Source organism: Homo sapiens, chromosome 4 (genome assembly GCF_000001405.40).
Source record: "Homo sapiens chromosome 4, GRCh38.p14 Primary Assembly".
NCBI lineage: Eukaryota > Metazoa > Chordata > Mammalia > Primates > Hominidae > Homo > Homo sapiens.
In genome coordinates, this window is record NC_000004.12 from 127,711,541 (window position 1) to 127,729,102 (window position 17,562).

At 38.7% G+C, this 17,562-nt stretch overlaps 1 protein-coding gene across 1 annotated transcript in view; it reads left to right on the plus strand.

The window, feature by feature from the left end:
* The window catches only part of INTU (inturned planar cell polarity protein), a 93,781-nt gene extending 78,584 nt beyond the window's left edge, over positions 1-15,197 (plus strand). Inside the window, exons 15-16 of the mRNA NM_015693.4 lie at positions 2,396-2,553; positions 4,785-15,197. Of these exons, the coding sequence (NP_056508.2) occupies positions 2,396-2,553; positions 4,785-4,896 (270 nt within the window). The 3' untranslated portion in view covers positions 4,897-15,197. The remainder of the gene's footprint in view (positions 1-2,395; positions 2,554-4,784) is intronic.
* Positions 15,198-17,562: the final 2,365 nt, after the last annotated feature.

Here is a 17,562-nt window from a genome sequence, read left to right on the forward strand (position 1 = left end):
CCAGTAGCTCTCTGTGGCCTATTAGGAACCAGGCTGCACAGCAGGAGGTGAGTGGCGGGCCAGGGAGCCTTACTGCCTGAGCTCTGCTTCCTATCAAATCAGCAGCACATACGAGTGCAAACCCTATTATTGTGAACTGTGCATGTGAGGGATCTAGGCTGTGCACTTCTTATGAGAATCTAATGCCTGATGATCTGAGGTAGAACAGTTTCATCTTGAAACCATCCCTCCCCCAGAAATTGGTCTCCAATGCCAGAAAGGTTGGGGACTGCTGGGTTAAGGTACAGCTATAGACACAAGACTAATGCAAATTTTTTGGCATTTGGTTGGTTGATTGCTTGCTTGCTTTTCTATCCAGGATGAAGTTTCATTGAATGTTGTTATCTGTTGAATAAATAATAATGCTGTGTACAATTACAATATCAGATTATTTAAATGGCAGGAAAAGATAGGTGTTGATTTCTTGAAAAGGATAAAACTTACAGAGGTTTACTTGTGACGTTATACAGCCAAAAAACCTCTCTGAAAATGGTTGTAATGTATATAGCAATACATGTGTTAGGGATGCCAAATTTGTGAAGAACTTGGGTTTAAAAGTGGAAGAACATTGGACAAGGAATAAGGAATCCTGGACTGAGCCTCACCTCCTATTTCCTTAGCTATGAAGCAAGTGGGCTGAATTACATCATCTCTCCAGGTTCATTCAGCAGTAAAATTCTGTGTCTTGTAGGATTTTTTTTTGAGTCCTCAGAAATTGTTATTCTGTAAAAATACTGTGTTTGACCCTATATTCCTGTATGCTTTGGGTTCTTATGCTCCTATTTCCCTTTTTAACATTAACTGATAAATGTTATAAAGGAATATTTCATTTACTTATTTGATAATATTTAGTAATATAAATTAGTTTTCCCCATCTTATTTAAACATTGAGGTACCTACTCTGCACCAGACACTATTCTAGGAACGTGGGATACAACAGTGGACAAAACAAAGTCCCTTCCTTCACGAAGCCTATTTTCTAATTAGAAATTAGTATGCTGAGAAGAATTAGAAAATAGTATGCTGAGAAGAATCAGTGTCAAGCAAAATAATAAAACATGGTAAGGATTAGAGGTGGGAGTGACTATTTTGAAAGGTCTCTCTGATCATGTCAAGTGATACTTGAACAGAGACCTGAATGAAGTGAGGGAGCAAGCCATGTGGCTCTCTGGGGACAGAGCTTCCAGCAAGGGGAACAGCAAATGCAAAGCTGCAGAGCATTACCGCCTGAGGTCTGCCTCCTGTCAGGTCAGCTGCGGCATTAGGTTCTCATAGGAGTGCAAACCCTACTGTGAACTGTCCATGCAAGGGATCTAGGTTGCCCACTTCTTATGAGACTCTAATGCCTGATGATCTGAGGTGGAACAGTTTCATCCTGAAACCATCCCCTAGGGGCTGGGAGAGTACTGGAGCAAACTGAGTGAGAAGAAAGTGGAAGAAGAGATCACAAAGGTAGCAGGGCCAGCTTATGCATGGCCGGATAGACTATGATAAGGACTTTGGGCTTTGTTCTGAAAGAGATGATACATTCTTGAACAGTTCTGCCCAAATAAGGGACATGATCCGTAATTTTTTTAAAGGATCACTCAGGCTACTGTGGGTAGAACAGGAAACAGAATAGCAAGGGTGGAGGCAGGGACCAGTTAGGAGGCTTTCAAAATTCTCAAAGCAAGAAATGATTATGGCTTCTGGACTGTGGATATATTTTGGAGGGCAAACCAAAAAGATCTGTTGATGGATTAGATAAAAGCTATGAAGGAAAGAAAAGGATCAAGGATCACTCCACTGTTTGCCCTGAAACTTATAAGAAGCCTTTATAGTCCAAATGAGTCATTGTTTTGCTAATGCTTTAATCAGTATGAAATTTAGAGATTATGGGTCAAAGGAAGACAAAATACTGTTTTAAATATATATTTTTTCAATTTATTACAGAATTATCTGTTCATTTAGAACACATTTATTAAGCACCTACTATGAACCAGGCACTGCTGGTTTTAAAACACACAAAGAAGATTGCATATTGTCTCTTCCCTGGGGAAAAAAGCTTATAATTTTCTATCTTCCACTGTGGAAGACAGATCTATAAACTGCTAATATAATATAATATACATACTAATAATATAGGCCTGTGAACAAAGTGTTCCCTAGAAAAGTCAAGGGACACTTTATCCATGAAGTCTCCTTTAGGATATGGTATTTAAGTTTTGAGGAAGAGTAGAAATTTTCCTGCAGATAAGAAGAATGTCATTGCAGGCACTGAAGTATTTGGATCAGCCAATTCAGATTACTCTGTGAAAACATTTTAAAGTAACACTGGTAATACCAGTTAATACTAACAATACCTATTAATTTACAGAAAAAGAAAGGACTAAATAGTGGAGACCATTCAGATTCTGCAAAGTCAGTGTCTTCTCTTAACCCTGTTAAAGAACATGGTGTGTTGTTTGAATGTTCACCTGGAAACTGGACTGATCAGAAAAAAGCACCACCAGTTATGGCTTACTGGGTAGTAGGGTAAGTGAGAAAAAAAAGTATTTGAAAGTAAAGTGTTAGAAAAGTGAAAGAAAAGTGGTAAAGGAGATTAACATTTTAAAATGTAAGCATGGAATTTTTTATCTAGCTATACTATTTTAATATATTTCATTTTATTTGCTAAGTATCTCCTTTAAATCCCTCCCAAGTATTTTTCTATTGAAAATTATCTTACAAAATTAAATTTCAGTAATACACTGAAAGAATAATTCCAGTTTTTCTCTTCTTCCCTTTTTCCCCTGCTTCCTTCATTTTTCCCCCTCTCTCCTTTCTTTCCCTCTTACCATCCTCTCCCTTTTCTTCCCTTCCCCTCTCTCTGGCCCCTGCCACAGGACCATGCCCAGTCAGGACCCTGCCCACCTTTGTTTCCATCTCCTGTCTCCTTCCTCTTCCATCCACTGTGCACCAGCTGCACGAGCACCAATCAAATCTTGTTTCTGTTGTTCCTTCTGCATGGGATATTCTATCCCTTGACCTTTGCACTTCTGGATCCTTGATATTCAGACCAGTGCTAACAGGTCATCTTGTCAGAGACGATCCATTATCTCTTTCCCTCATCAAAGTGGCTACTCAGTTATTCTCTATATGACTCTTTTATTGTTTATTTTCTTGTCCTTCTCCACCCCCCACCCTCATTACAATATCAGCTTCATGAGGTCAGGAATTGTATCTGTCTTGTCCACCACTGGCACCTGCAACAGTACCTGGCACATAATATAGTCACTTGATAAACATGTGATGGCTGAGTAGGTGAGACTGTGCCTGGCAAAATGTGAAACTGGTGGTGGGTTGGGTGGGCAGTGGGCGGTATGGCAAACACAGAGACATAGTCATTGCCTCTAAGGGCCTTATATCTAGCAGAAGAATTATGAAATATGCTGAAATATCTATATATTTATATATCTATATTTATAGGTATAGAGAGAAATCTTATATATATGTGTGTGTATACATATATGTAAAATGAATCTGATGATACAACCAAATACTATAGGAATTCTGAGGAGGGGGCAAAATCTAATGAACAAAGATGCGAACAGTGGAAATTATACAGCACAGCAGTGAACAGACTGGTTTGCCAGGATGGTAGAGGAATGGCATATACAAAGATTAAGTGAAAGATCAAGTTGGGAACCTAAGTTAGGACCACTGCAGAAGGTTATTTGAGTTGGAGTAGAGGTTGGTGGAGGAAAGGGCACAGAATTAGTTGGGAGTAGGGGTAGTGGACACATACCATGTAGTATTAAGCTGTATGACAGACACTTTACAGACATTATCCAAAGCAGAAATTCCCATGTGCTAGTCCATGGGATTTAGAATCACCTAAGTCACTTGTTAAAATCTGAGATGCCTGGGCCCCAGACCTACTAAATCAAAATCTGTGAGAGTGGGAATCTGTATTTTTAGTAAGCTCCTTTGTGATTATCCTGTGAACCAGGCTTGGGAACATCAGTGTAAGCTTAATTCCATGTAGTGTAATCAGAGTTGTACTGCTGGAAGATTAAACAGGGAGCGCCAATGGAATGATGTGCACATGAGAGATACTAGAAATGAGAAGACCAGTTAGGCACACATGTAGCTGTTCAGTCGAGTGTTAACTACGTTCATGACAATTGGAATAGAAAGAATCAAAAGATGTTGAATTTTGATAATGCAGATTTATGCAGAAGAGAAATTTAAGAAAATCAGGCAGAACTATCTCCAGTTTAAATAGATCAATTTGTATACATTAGTATTGATTAAATGGATTTCAATTTTAACTCTTTAAGAAAACCAAACAAAATTTCAATGTTAATTCCAATTCAGTTCTATTTGCCAAAAAAAGCTACCATATATTTAATGTTTTAATAAAAATTAAACATTAGAAAGTAAAGAGCAATAAAATACTTAATAACTATTGTGCCTATAATGCTAGTGCTATTGCCTTTATTATAATAACTAGATTTGCTATTTAAAAACTGAGTGGTATCATAATACATATTGATAAAATAGGATTATTACACTCTAGAGCAATAAAAACTAATTGACCTAAGGCATATATTATTTATTTAGAAATAAATCTAGCTGCTTTCTCCCTAGTATAGATTTAGATTCATGGATTTTAAATTTACTACTGATGCTTTCAGAAACAAAAATTAAATTAATTGGATGGTTAGAGTTTTTGTTGTTTGTTGTTTTAATTTCTGAAATGAGTGTGTTCTTTTCTTCTGCAGGAGACTTTTTCTTCATCCAAAACCTCAAGAACTTTATGTCTGTTTTCATGACTCAGTCACAGAAATTGCCATTGAAATAGCTTTTAAATTGTTCTTTGGGTTAACCTTGTAGCTGTGCTTTCTTGATGCGTAGAAACACGTGCATGGAGGATCAAACACTGTCAGAATTGCTGAAATCAATACACAAAGAGATAAAGTTTAGCTTCTTTTTACTATTCAATATTGAACATAATATTGTTAAATATTGAGATGAAATGCTGTTGGATTTGATACATTAAATCTTAATGTAATATTGTAAGACTTTTGAGAATATACTTGATTAAAATGTGAAAGAAGGGATTGTTAACTTATTGCTATTTTGGTATATAATGTTAATTTATTGACTAGTTTGAAATAATGTGAAGTGTTTTTTATATCAGATTAATATAGGAAATGTTTATTCTTGAAAAATACTCAATTTGTTGTTGTTTATTTTTCTCAAAATTCATACTGATATCTGATGAAATGATTATGAAATTGGGAGCAGGTGACCAGGTGCTGTAACTAAGTAGTGCTATGACCATGAGCAAGTTTTTGTACCTCTCTAAGCTCAGAGTTTTCATGTAAAATGAGATGATTGCATTGAGGTTTCAAAAATACCTCTTAAGTAAAATGTGCTTTTATTTTATTTTAGTTTTAGTTTTAGTTCTGGGGTACATGTGCAGGATGTGCAGGTTCGTTACATAGGTAAACATGTGCCATGGCGGTTTGCTCCACCTATCAACCCATCACCTAGGTATTAAGCCTAGCATGCATTAGCTATTTTTCCTAATACTCTCCCTACCCCCACAACAGGCCCTGGTGTGCATTGTTCCCCTCCCTTTGTCCATGTGTTCTCATGGTCAGCTCCCACTTATAAGTGAGAACCTACAGTGTTTGGTTTTCTGTTCCTGCATTAGTTTGCTGAGGATAATGGCTTCCAGCTTCATCCATGTCCCTGCAGAGGACATGATCTCATACCTTTTTGTGGCTGCATAGTATTCCATGGTGTATGTGTACCACATTTTCTTTATCCAGTCTATTGCTGATGGGCATTTGGGTTGATTCCATGTCTTTGCTATTGTAAATAGTGCTTCAATGAACATATGTGTGCATATATATTTGTAATTGAATGATTTATATTACTTTGAGTATAAACCCAGTAATGGGATTGCTGGGTCAAATGGCATTTCTGGTTCTAGATCTTTGAAGAATCACCACACTGTCTTCCACAATGGTTGAACTAATTCACATTCCCACCAACAGTGTAAAAGCGTTCCTATTTCCTCACAGCCTCGCCAGCATCTGTTATTTCTTGACTTTTTAATAATAGCCACTCTGACTGGTGTGAGATGATATCTCATTGTGGTTTTGATTTGCATTTCTCTAACAATCAGTGATATTGAGCTTTTTTTTCATATGTTTGTTGGCTGCATGAATGTCTTCTTTTGAGAAGTGTCTGTTCATGTCCTTTGCCCAGTTTTTAATGCGGTTCTATTTTTTCTTGTAACTTGGTTTGAGTTCCTTGTAGATCCTGGATATCAGATCATTGTTGGATGAATAGATTGCCAAAATTTTCTCCCACTCTGTAGGTTGCCTGTTCACTCTGATGATAGTTTCTTTTGCTGTGCAGAAGGTCTTTAATTTAACTAGATCCCATTTGTCAAGTTTTGCTTTTGTTGCAGTTGCTTTTGTGATTTCATCATGAAATCTTTGCCCATGCTCATGTCTTAAATGGTATTGCCTAGATTTTCTTCTAGGGATTTTATAGTTTTGGGCTTTACATTTAAGCCTTTATTCTATCTTAATTTTTTGTATAAGGTATGAGGAATGGGTCCAGTTTCTATTTTCTGCATATGGATAGCTAGTTCTCCCAGCACCATTTATTAAATAAGGAATCCTTTCCCCATTGCTTGTTTTTCTCAGGTTTGTTGAAGATCAGATGGTTGTAGATGTGCAATCTTATTTCTGAGTTCTCTATTCTATTCCATTGGTCTATGTGTCAGTTTTTGTACCAGTACCATGATGTTTTGGTTATTGTACCCTTACAGTACAGTTTGAAGTTTGGTAGTGTGATGCCTCCAGCTTTGATCTTTTGGCTTAGGATTGCCTTGGCTATACAGGCTCTTTTTTTGGTTCCATATAAATTTTAAAATAGTTTTTTCTAATTCTATGAAGAATATCAATGGTAGTTTAATGGGAATAACATTGACTCTATAAATTACTTTGGGCAGTATGGCTATTTTCATGATATTGATTCTTACTGTCTGTGAGCATGGAATATTTTTCCATTTGTTTGTGTCCTCTCTGGTTTCCTTGAGCCGTGGTTTGTAGTTCTCCTTGAAGAGGTCCTTCACTTCCCTTGTTAGCTGTATTCCTAGGTATTTTATTCTCTTTGAAGCAATTGTGAGTAGGAGTTCATTCATGATTTGGATCTCTGCTTGCCTGTTGTTGGTGTATAGGAATGCTGGTGACTTCTGCACAATGATTTTGTATCTTGAGACTTTGCTGAAGTTGCTTATCAGCTTAAGAAGCTTTTGGGCTGAGACAATGGGGTTTTCTAGATATAGGATAATGTCCTCTGCAAACAAAGACATTTTGACTTCCTCTCTTCTTCTTTGAATACCCTTTATTTCTTTCTCTTGCCTGATTGCCCTGGCCAGGACTTCCAATACTATGTTGAATAGTGGTGAGAGAGGTCATCCTTGTCTTGTGCTGGTTTTCAAGGGGAGTGCTTCCAGCTTTTGCCCATTCGGTATGATATTGGCTGTGAGTCTGTCATAAATGGCTCTTATTATTTTGAAGTATGTTCCTTCAATACCTAGTTTATTGAGAGTTTTTAACATGAAAGGATGTTGAATTTTATTGAAGGTGTTTTCTGCATCTATTGAGTTAATCATGTGGTCTTTGTCTTTAGTTCTGTTTGTGTGATGAATTAAGTTTATTGATTTGCATATGTTGAACCAGCCTCACATCCCGGGAATGAAGCCAACTTGATCGTGGTGGATAAGCTTTTTGATGTGCTGCTGGATTCAGTTTGCCAGTGTTTTATTGAGAATTTTTACATTGATGTTCATCAGGGATATTGGTCTGAAGTTTTCTTTTTTTGTTGTATCTCTGCCAGGTTTTGATATCAGGATGATGCTGGCCTTATAGAATGAGTTAGGGAGGAGTCTCTCCTTTTCATTTGTTTGGAATAGTTTCAGAAGAAGTGGTATCAGCTTCTTTTTGTATTTCTGGCAGAATTCAGCTGTAGATCCATCTGGTCCTGGGCTTTTTTTGGTTGGTAGCCTATTAATTACTGCCTCAATTTCAGAACTTGTTATTGGTCTATTCAGTGATTCAACTTCTTCCTGGTTCAGTCTTGGGAGGGTGTATGTGTCCAGGAATTTATCCATTTCTTCTAGATTTTCGAGTTTATTTGCACCGAGCTGTTATAGTATTGTCTGATGGTTGTTTATATTTCCATGGGATCAGTGGTAATATCCCCTTTATCATTTTTTATTGTGTCTATTTGGTTCTTCTCTCTTTTCTTCTTTATTAGTCTAGCTAATAGTCTATTTTGTTAATATTTTCAAAAAAAAGCAGCCCCTGGATTCATTTATTTTTTGAAGGGTTTTTCATGTCTCTAGCTCCTTCATTTCCACTCTGATTTTGGTTACTTTTTGTCTTCTGCTGGCTTTTGGGTTTGTTTGCTCTTGGTTCACTAGTTCTTTTAGTTGTGATACTAGGGTGTCGATTTGAGATCTTTCTAGCTTTTTGATGTGGGCATTTAGTGCTATAAATTTCCCTCTTAACACTGCTTTAGCTATGCCCCAGAGATTCTGGTACATTGTCTCTTTGTTTTCATTGGTTTCAAAGAACTTCTTGATTTCTCTCTTAATTTCATTATTTACCCAGGAGTCATTCAGGAGCAGGTTGTTCAATTTCCACGTAGTTTTGTGGTTTTGAGTGACTTTCTTACTCTTGAGTTCCAATTTGATTGCGCTGTGATCTGAGAGACTGTTTGTTATTACTTCAGTTCTTTAGCATTTGCTGAGGAGTGCTTTACTTCTAATTGTGTGATCAATTTTAGAGTAAGTACCATGTGGCACTGAGAAGAATATATATTCTGTTGTTTGGGGGTGGAAAGATGTCTAGATATTTATCAGGTCCCACTTGATCCAGAGCTGAGGTCAAGTCCTGAATAACTTTGTTAATTTTCTGTCTCGATGATCTAATATTGACAGTGGGGTGTTAAAGTCTCCCACTATTATTGTGTGGAAATCTAAGTCTCTTTTTGGGTCTCTAAGAACTTGTTTTATGAATCTGAGTGCTCCTATATTAGGTGCATATATATTTAGGATAGTTAGCTCTTCTTGTTGAATTGACCCCTTTACCAGTATGTAATGCCTTTGTCTTTTTTTTAATCTTTATTCGTTTAAAGTCTTTGTCAGAAACTAGGATTGCAGCCTCTCCTTTTTCTGTTTTCCTTTTGCTTGGTAGATTTTCCTTCATCCTTTTATTTTGAGTCTATGTGTGTCCTTGCATGTGAGATGGGTCTCTTGAATACAGCACACTGATAGAGTTTGACTCTATCCAGCTTGCCACTCTGCGTCTTTTATTTGGGGCATTTAGTGCATTTACATTTAAGGTTAATATTGTTATGTGTGAATTTTATCCTGACATCATGATGCTAGTTGATTATTTTGCAGACTTGTTTATGTTTTTGCTTCATAGTGTTACTGATCTGTGTATTTCAATGTGTTTTTTGTAGCGGCTGGTAACAGTTTTTCCTTTCCATATTGAGTGCTTCCTTCAGGAGCACTTGCAAGGCAGGCCTGGTGGTGACGAATTCCCTCAGCATTTGCTTGTCTGAAAAAGATTTTATTTCTCCTTCACTTATGAAGCTTAGTTCAGCCAGATATGAAATTCTAGGTTGGAAATTCTTTCCTTTAAGAATGTTGAAAATTGGCCCCCAACCTCTTCCAGCTTATAAGGTTTCTGCTGAGAGGTCTGCTGTTAGTCTGATGGGCTTCCCTTTATAAGTGACCTGGCCTATCTCTCTGACTGCCCTTAACATTTTTTCCTTCATTTCAGTCTTGGAGAATCTGATGATTATGTGTCTTGGGGTTGATCTCATGGAGTATTGTATTGGGGTTCTCTGGATTTCCTGAATTTGAATGTTGGCCTGTCTTGCTAGGTTGGGGAAGTTTTCCTGGATGATATCCAGAAGTGTGTTTTCCAACTTGGTTCCATTCTTCTGTCTCTTTCAGGTATATCTACCAGTCGTAGGTTCAGTCTTTTAACATAATCCCATAGTTCTCAGAGGTTTCATTCATTCCTTTTCATTCTTTTTTCTCTAATCTTGTCTGCCTGCCTTATTTCAGCAAGATAGTCTTCAAACTCTGATATCCTTTCTTCCACTTAGTCTATTTGGCTATGGATACTTGTGTTTCCATTATAAAGTTCTCATGTTTTTCAGCTCCATCAGATCATTTACGTTCCTCTCCAAACTGGTTATTCTGTTTAACAGCTCCTATAATGTTTTATTATGGTTCTTAGCTTCTTTGCAGTGAGTTAGAACATATTCCCTTAGCTTGGTGAAGTTCGTTATTTCCCATCTTGGATGGATGATTGACATTCATCCATCTCAGCCTCAGCCCAGTTCTGTGCCCTTGCTAGAGACATGTTGCAATCTTTTGGAGGAGAAGAGGCACTCTGGCTTTCTGAGTTTTCCGTATCCTTGCATTCTTTCTCATCTTCATGGGTTTATCTACCTTTGATCTTTGAGTCTGCTGACTTTTGGATGAGGTTTTTGTGGTGTCTTTTTTGTTGATGTTGTTGCATTCTGTTTTTCTTTAGTAGTCAGGCCCCTCTTCTGCAGAGCTGCTGCAGTTTGCCTGGGGTCCACTCTAGACCCTATTCGCCTGGGTCTCTCGTCTTCCAGGAGATATCACCAGTGGAGGCTGCAGACCAGCAAAGATGGCAGCCTGCTCCTTCCTCTGGGAGCTCTGTCCCAGAGGGGCACTGGCCTGATGCTAGCCGGAATGCTCCTGTATGAAGTGTCTGGAGACTCCTGTTGGGAGGTCTCAGTCAGAAGGAGCGGGGTCAGAGAACCACTTAAATAAGCAGTCTGTCTGCCCCTTGACAGGGTGGGTGTGCTACACTGGGGGGAATCCCCCTCATCTGGACTGCCTTGACTCTCCAGAGCCAGCAGGCAGAGAAGACTAAGATCACTGATCCATGATACTTCAGCCATCCTTCCTCCTAGGGGCTCCTCTTGGGGTTATCAGCGTTTTGTCCATAAACCCCTGGCTGGGGATGCTGAGATTCCCACAGGGAGGCCCTGTCCAGTGAAGAGGAGTGAATCTGGGTTCCACCCCATCTCGCCGGCGCTAGCAGCAAGGGAAAGTGGCCAATTGAAGCCGCAGTGATGGCGGCCTCCCCTCCCTTCTCCCCCCTCTCCTTCCCCACTTCCAGAACTCAGTCGTCTTAGGCAGTTTCTAGCTGGTGGGGGAGGATTCCAAGCCAGTGGGTTTTAGCTTATAGAGTTCTGTGAGAGCAAGGCTGCTTGGCTCCCTGGCTTCAGCCCCCTCCCCATGAGAGTGGACAGATCTCCTGCCTCACGGGAGTTCCCAGAGCCGGAGTATGCAAATACTCCAGTGTCTCAGTGCCTGCTCAAAGCGGCTGCCCACCCAAGCAGAGATTTGTGCTTGGGACCCAAAGCTCTGGTAGCATTGGCTCAGGAGGGAACCTCCTGATCTACAAGTTGCAAGGATCTGTGGGAAAAGCCTGGTTTTCAGGGAGGGGAAGCAAAATCCTTCACCATCTCCCTTGGCTGGACGAGGGAGTTCACTTTGCTGCGTGCAGTTCCTGGATGGGATCTTGCTCCACCCTGTTTGCTTGCTCTCCGTGGGTCATGCCAGCCACCTAGCAGTCCCAATAAGAGAACTTCAGTATCTCAACTGAAGATGCAGAGTTGACTCACAGTTTTCTTCCTTCTTGGTGGGAGCTGCAGAGCAGAGCTGCCTCTCTTTGACCATCTGGGCTCTCTGTTCTACTTTTTTTTTTTTTTTTTTTGCCTCTTGCATGTTGGTCACCTCCTAAATTAGTAATGTCCAAGTACTTATTCCTTATCAGATACTTTTCGTTAATTTAACTATCCTAGTACATACCTCACTGTGGGGAAAGGGGGAAAGATGAAAATTAAACTTACTTTTTATTTATTTGATTCTCTTTAAGTTTCAGGTAAGCTCAATTTTGACTAGGATATATATATGTGTGTGTGTGTATATATATGTATTTTTTAAACTATTTGTCAACTTTATTTTTTTTTGTTTGTTTTTGTTAAAATACATTCAGCGGCTGGGCTTAGTGGCTCACGCCTGTAATCTCAACACTTTGGGAGGCTGAGGCAGGTGGATCACTTGAGTCCAGGAGTTCAAGACCAGCCTGAGCAACATAGCAAAAACTCCATCTCTACAAAAACACCAAAATTAGCCGGGTGTGGTAGCACTCTCTTTTAACAGTCCCAGATACCTGGGAGGCTGAGGTGGGAAGATCACCTGAGCTCAGTCGGTTGAGGCTGCAGTGAGCTATGATCATGCCACTGCACTCTAGCCTGGGCAACACAGTGAGACCCTGTCTCAAAAAAAAAAATCACATTCAAGTATATTTCACATGCATTTTATATAATTCATGAATTTCAGGAAAGCTGCATGTAAATCTTTTTTTAAAGCTAAATCATGTTAAAGACACTGAAAAAGTTAACTAAAATTCTATGGTGACTTCTTTTATAAAATACTAATTTTTGGCCGGGCACGGTGGTGGCTCACGCCTGTAATCCCAGCACTTTGGGAGGCCGAGGCAGGTGGATCATGAGGTCAGGAATTCGAGACCAGCCTGACCAACATGGTGAAACCCCATCTCTACTAAAAATACAAAAATTAGCTGGGCGTGGTGGTGTGCACCTGTAATCCTAGCTACCTAGGAGGCTGAGGCAGGAGAATCGCTTGAACCCAGGAAGCAGAGGTTGCAGTGAGCCAAGATCACACCACCGCACTTCTGCCTGTGGAACAGAATGAGACTCCGTCTCAAAAAAAAAAAAAAAAATACTAACTTTTATCTTAGAAATATAGATCATTATGCATTGGGTTTTTTCAAAGGGGGAACACTTTAGTGAACAATAGTTTACTTGACCTTTAGTTGGAAAAGAAAACTAATGGTGGAGAATTTTCTTTGGCTGGGAGAATTTGGTAGATTGAGAGAAAGGAAGAACATCAATACTGCATTTTTACTTGACATTTACCCTGTAGATCCTCCTAGAGGTTCGATGCCCCCAAGACATTCCAACACTGAGCTGTTTCTTCTCCAGGTCTTAAGCTTTGAATACAAGCTATACCAGCACATCTAAAATCGGTCTCTACATTTTTCCATCTTAAATATGAGCTGTCCAGCTTAGTCAAAACTAACTGCAAAACACTGGGTGTACCATTTGAGTCATTTGGTCTTAAAAGAAACACTATTATCACTGTGTCACAGTTTGAGAGATTTTCACTTAAGCATTTAAGTTGCAAACCACTACATATTTGTCCCATTAGTGACTAGTGGGCCTTAATTTTGGCATTCAAATTAGGGTAAAAAACCTTGGTTCTTGAAATGCTACAGAAAATAGCTTGAGGCCAGGCACAGTTGCTCACACCTGTAACTCCAGCACTTTGGAAGGCTGAGGCAGGCAGATCACTTGAGGTCAGGCGTTTGAGACCAGGCTGGTCAACATGGTGAAACCCTGTCTCTACTAAAAATACTAAAAAAAAAAAAAAAAAAAAAAAAATTAGCCGGGCATGGTGGCAGGTGCCTGAAGTCCCAGCTACTTGGGAGGCTGAGGCAGGAGAATCACTTGAACCCAGGAAGCAGAGGCTGCAGTGAGCCTAGCTCGTGCCACTGCCACTCCAGCCTGGGCAACAGAACGAGGCTCTGTTTAAAAAACAAAAAAGCTTGAAATACCTTCCCCTTAAGATCACAATATTGTCATATGCTACCATTTGACTCACAACTGCTGTCTTAGGACTGCTTATTTACATATATATGTATTAAGACACTTTGGTTAAAACAATTTATTAAATGTCTTAAATTTCTGGATATGTCCCTGAAAATACCATGAACTACTTCTAATACTGATAATTATGAATAAACGTAGCTGTTGATCACCTCAGGTTTTCATACAAACTGAACTAAGGTAGGGTTTTATCATAGGGGACTTTTTGTTTCATTTAATGAAATTTTGATGTGTTGAACTGCTTTCCTGGTGTCAGAGAAACATGAGACCATCGCTCAATAATGGAAATAAAAAGGCAGAGCAGACTACTGATCTTAATAAAAGGAAAATTATTTGCTGTATCGTAGATGTGCACTGTAATTTCCATGTTAAAGAGGCACTGCATTTTTAAGAAATAAAATCACACATCTTATTTTTTCATTTCTAAATGGATATTGAACTAAGCTCTGAAGGCAAACTTAGCTGCCTATTTTTCCAAATATGTTCAGAATCACATCTGAAACATCAAACTGATTATCAGACAATAAAGTGCCTGTTACTTTATTAAATAAAGGGGGACAGGATGACAGTGCAGATATCCTAGAAATATGCTTTAGAAGACATAGAAACGTTGTTAAATTGGATTTTATTAGTATGCAAATGTTCCCTTCCACCAACAACTATTAATGTGAAAAACTATATATAGCTAGCATTTTTTAAAATATCAAATACTGTCTCATTATCATATGTTTAGCCCCCCCAAAATTACATTTTAGACTCTTACTTTCTCTCCCTCTCCCCTTTCTTTAGCTCTTGTTTGTGTCTTGCCAAAGAAGTGTACCTAGTAAGGGAATGTTTCTTATTTGTGCCAAGGGACTATTGATGATGCTGTATAATGGCAAGATAGCATTTTGTAATACCTGCTTTTTTATATTTCTAATACAAATGGGCAAAGCTGTGAAACCAATTTACTAGGTTTTTCTGCTTTGGACATAATTGTATGTGTTAATTCTCTCTAAACAGTGCCTGGCACATATTACATGCTATAAAAGTGTTAGCTACTACTGCTACCATTTATTATTATCATTATTAAATATCCATTGGTTGAAAAACCAAGTAGTCAGCTAAATCATACCTGCTACTGTACAAAATGTAGGGGAAAAGCTGAGAAAAATCATTTATCAATAAACAGTTTTCAGAACAAGAATTTATACTTTGGATATTTTTAAATTGTTAAATGTTATTGAAACTTTATGCACCAAAACTGTATGAAATAATTTAATTTTGCAGTTGTGTTTCTATATTCTATGTAATTAAAGCTACTTTTATACTATATTGATAGTTTTAAATAAAACTGGTTTGGAGGTTTGTTTGCAGTTGTATTGCCTTTTTCATGCATTCATCCAACATGTATTTATTGCATTTCTACCCTGTGCCAAGCGCTGATGTGGAGGCAGAGGCTATAGCAATGAATAAAACAGCTAAAAATTCCTGCCCTCATGGAGTTTATGTTCCAATGGGAGAGGCATACCACAGACAAGATAAATAAGTAAAATATGTAAATGCTGAGAGAAAAAATCGTAAAGCAAGAGAAGGGGATGTAAGATGTGGCAGACAGGGTGACCAAGGAAAGGGATGCTGAGCTGACTGCAGACCTGAAGTGAGGAAACTAATCATGCTGATTTCTCCGGAGAGCAAAGTGAACAGAACAAAGATCCAGAAACTCTACTTTTAATGTTAACATAAATCACTAGAATTTTTTTCCTTCCCTAATCAGTAAGTAAAATCAATGCAGTAAATTACTCAGTTTCAGCTCCGACCTATTGAAGAGTTGATTTAGTGCTTTTAATAAGGTTAAAAAGCTACTGGGCGCGGTGACTCACTACTGTAATCCCAGCACTTTGAAAGGCTGAGGCGGAAGAACTGCTTGAGTCCATGAGTTCAAGACAAGCTTGGGCTTGTCTTGATATGGAGACCCCATCTCCACAAAAAATTTTTAAAATTAGCTGGATATGGTGGTCTTTGCCTGTAGTCCTAGCTACTTGGGAGGCTGAGGTGGGAGAATTACATGAGCCCAGGAGTTCAAGGCTTCAGTGTGCCATGATCTTGCCACTGCATTCCAGTCTGGGTGCAGAGTGAGACCCTGTCTCAACAAAAAGTTTTTTAAAAGGTTAACAAAGCTACATTTTTAAGTTGACACTTTCACTTTTGTCTGTCTTCTATCAATGAATACATGTCAGAAATAAGCTTGATATCATAAAGGAATATGATGTAAACATTGTCAGCTATCAAATCAAATGTTAGAGGAGGGTAGAAAGAGAAAGTTGCCCTGGGGAGCAGCAGAACACTTCCTTTCTGTCCTCAGAGATGGTTCCCTTACCTTTCTTGGATCTTAAAAAGACACTCTTACCTGTAGTGATTCAAGTAATTTCCCCCTTAAATTTCTCCGTATGTGCCTGCTAATGCTTCAAATTCCCTTGAAGGAGAACGAAACCTTTCATTTTTCAGATGTTTGCTAATAAAAAGCCAATTGTTTATTGAATTTACAATGAATTTGACAAAGGATTTTGAAGTCAATGCAATGGAAAGACTTTCAATTTTGTTTAAGCTTAAGAATTAATTAATTAATGCTTTAGACACATTAATCTGGCTGCTGCATGTGAAAGAGAGAAACAGAGATTCGAGTTGGAAAACCCAGTTAAGAGTTGAATAAGCCGGTCGGGCGTGGTGGCTCATGCCTGTAATCCCAGCACTTTGGGAGGCCAAGGCGGGTGGATCACTTGAGGTCAGGAGTTTGAGACCAGCCTGGCCAACATGGTGAAACCCTGTCTCCACTAAAAATACAAAACTTAGCTGGGTGTTGTGGTGGATGCCTGTAATCCCAGCCATTTGGGAGGCGGAGGCAGGAGAATTGCTTGAAACCCGGGTTTCAGTGAGCCAATATTGCACCACTGCATTCCAGCCTGGGCAACAGAGCGAGACTCTGTCTCAAAAAAAAAGGTTGAATAAGCCACCATGGAAAGGAAGTAGCACCAAACATATGATATCAGTAGGACTTGCCAACTGATTTTATGTGAGGTAATCAAAATATTGACAACATTCCTGGTCTGGAATCCTTCTGACCTAAATGGTTTTTTACTAGTGACAAGTACTAGTAGAAGGGTTATAACACATAAGACAAAGGAAAAATTAGAACCTAACATTCAAAAAAAGCTAAAAACTCATTTCACATTTTATAGATGTGTTGTAAGGCTCTGCAGGTCCTACAGAGTAAGAGGTGATAAGATGGGATCTCCATTTATTTCAAAACACCAAACGAGCTGTAAAAAGGGATATATTAAATGCTACTATAGAAGGATCTCCACGATATATTAAGTGAAAAAAGTGAGGTGAAAGAAAAAGACAAATGTTATGTACAGGCTAGACGTACCTCTACTGAGTATTTTTGCCGAAAGAAGTCAAACCTGAATCTGCCAACCTCCTCTAAATGAGTTCTCAAAGTGCAGTTTAGAAAACCCCTCTGTGTCACGGAGACAGGAACACCATGAAGTCAAAGGTATTTTCTTAAATGATACTATTATTTGCCTTTTTCACTTTCATTCTGTCCTGAATAAACAGTGGAGTTTTCCAGTGGCTACATGTATGATATCACAACAGACTGAATGCAAAAGCAGTAATGTGAATCTAGCTGTCTTTTATTAAATCAGACATTAGAGATTCAAAAATATAAAACAATACTAT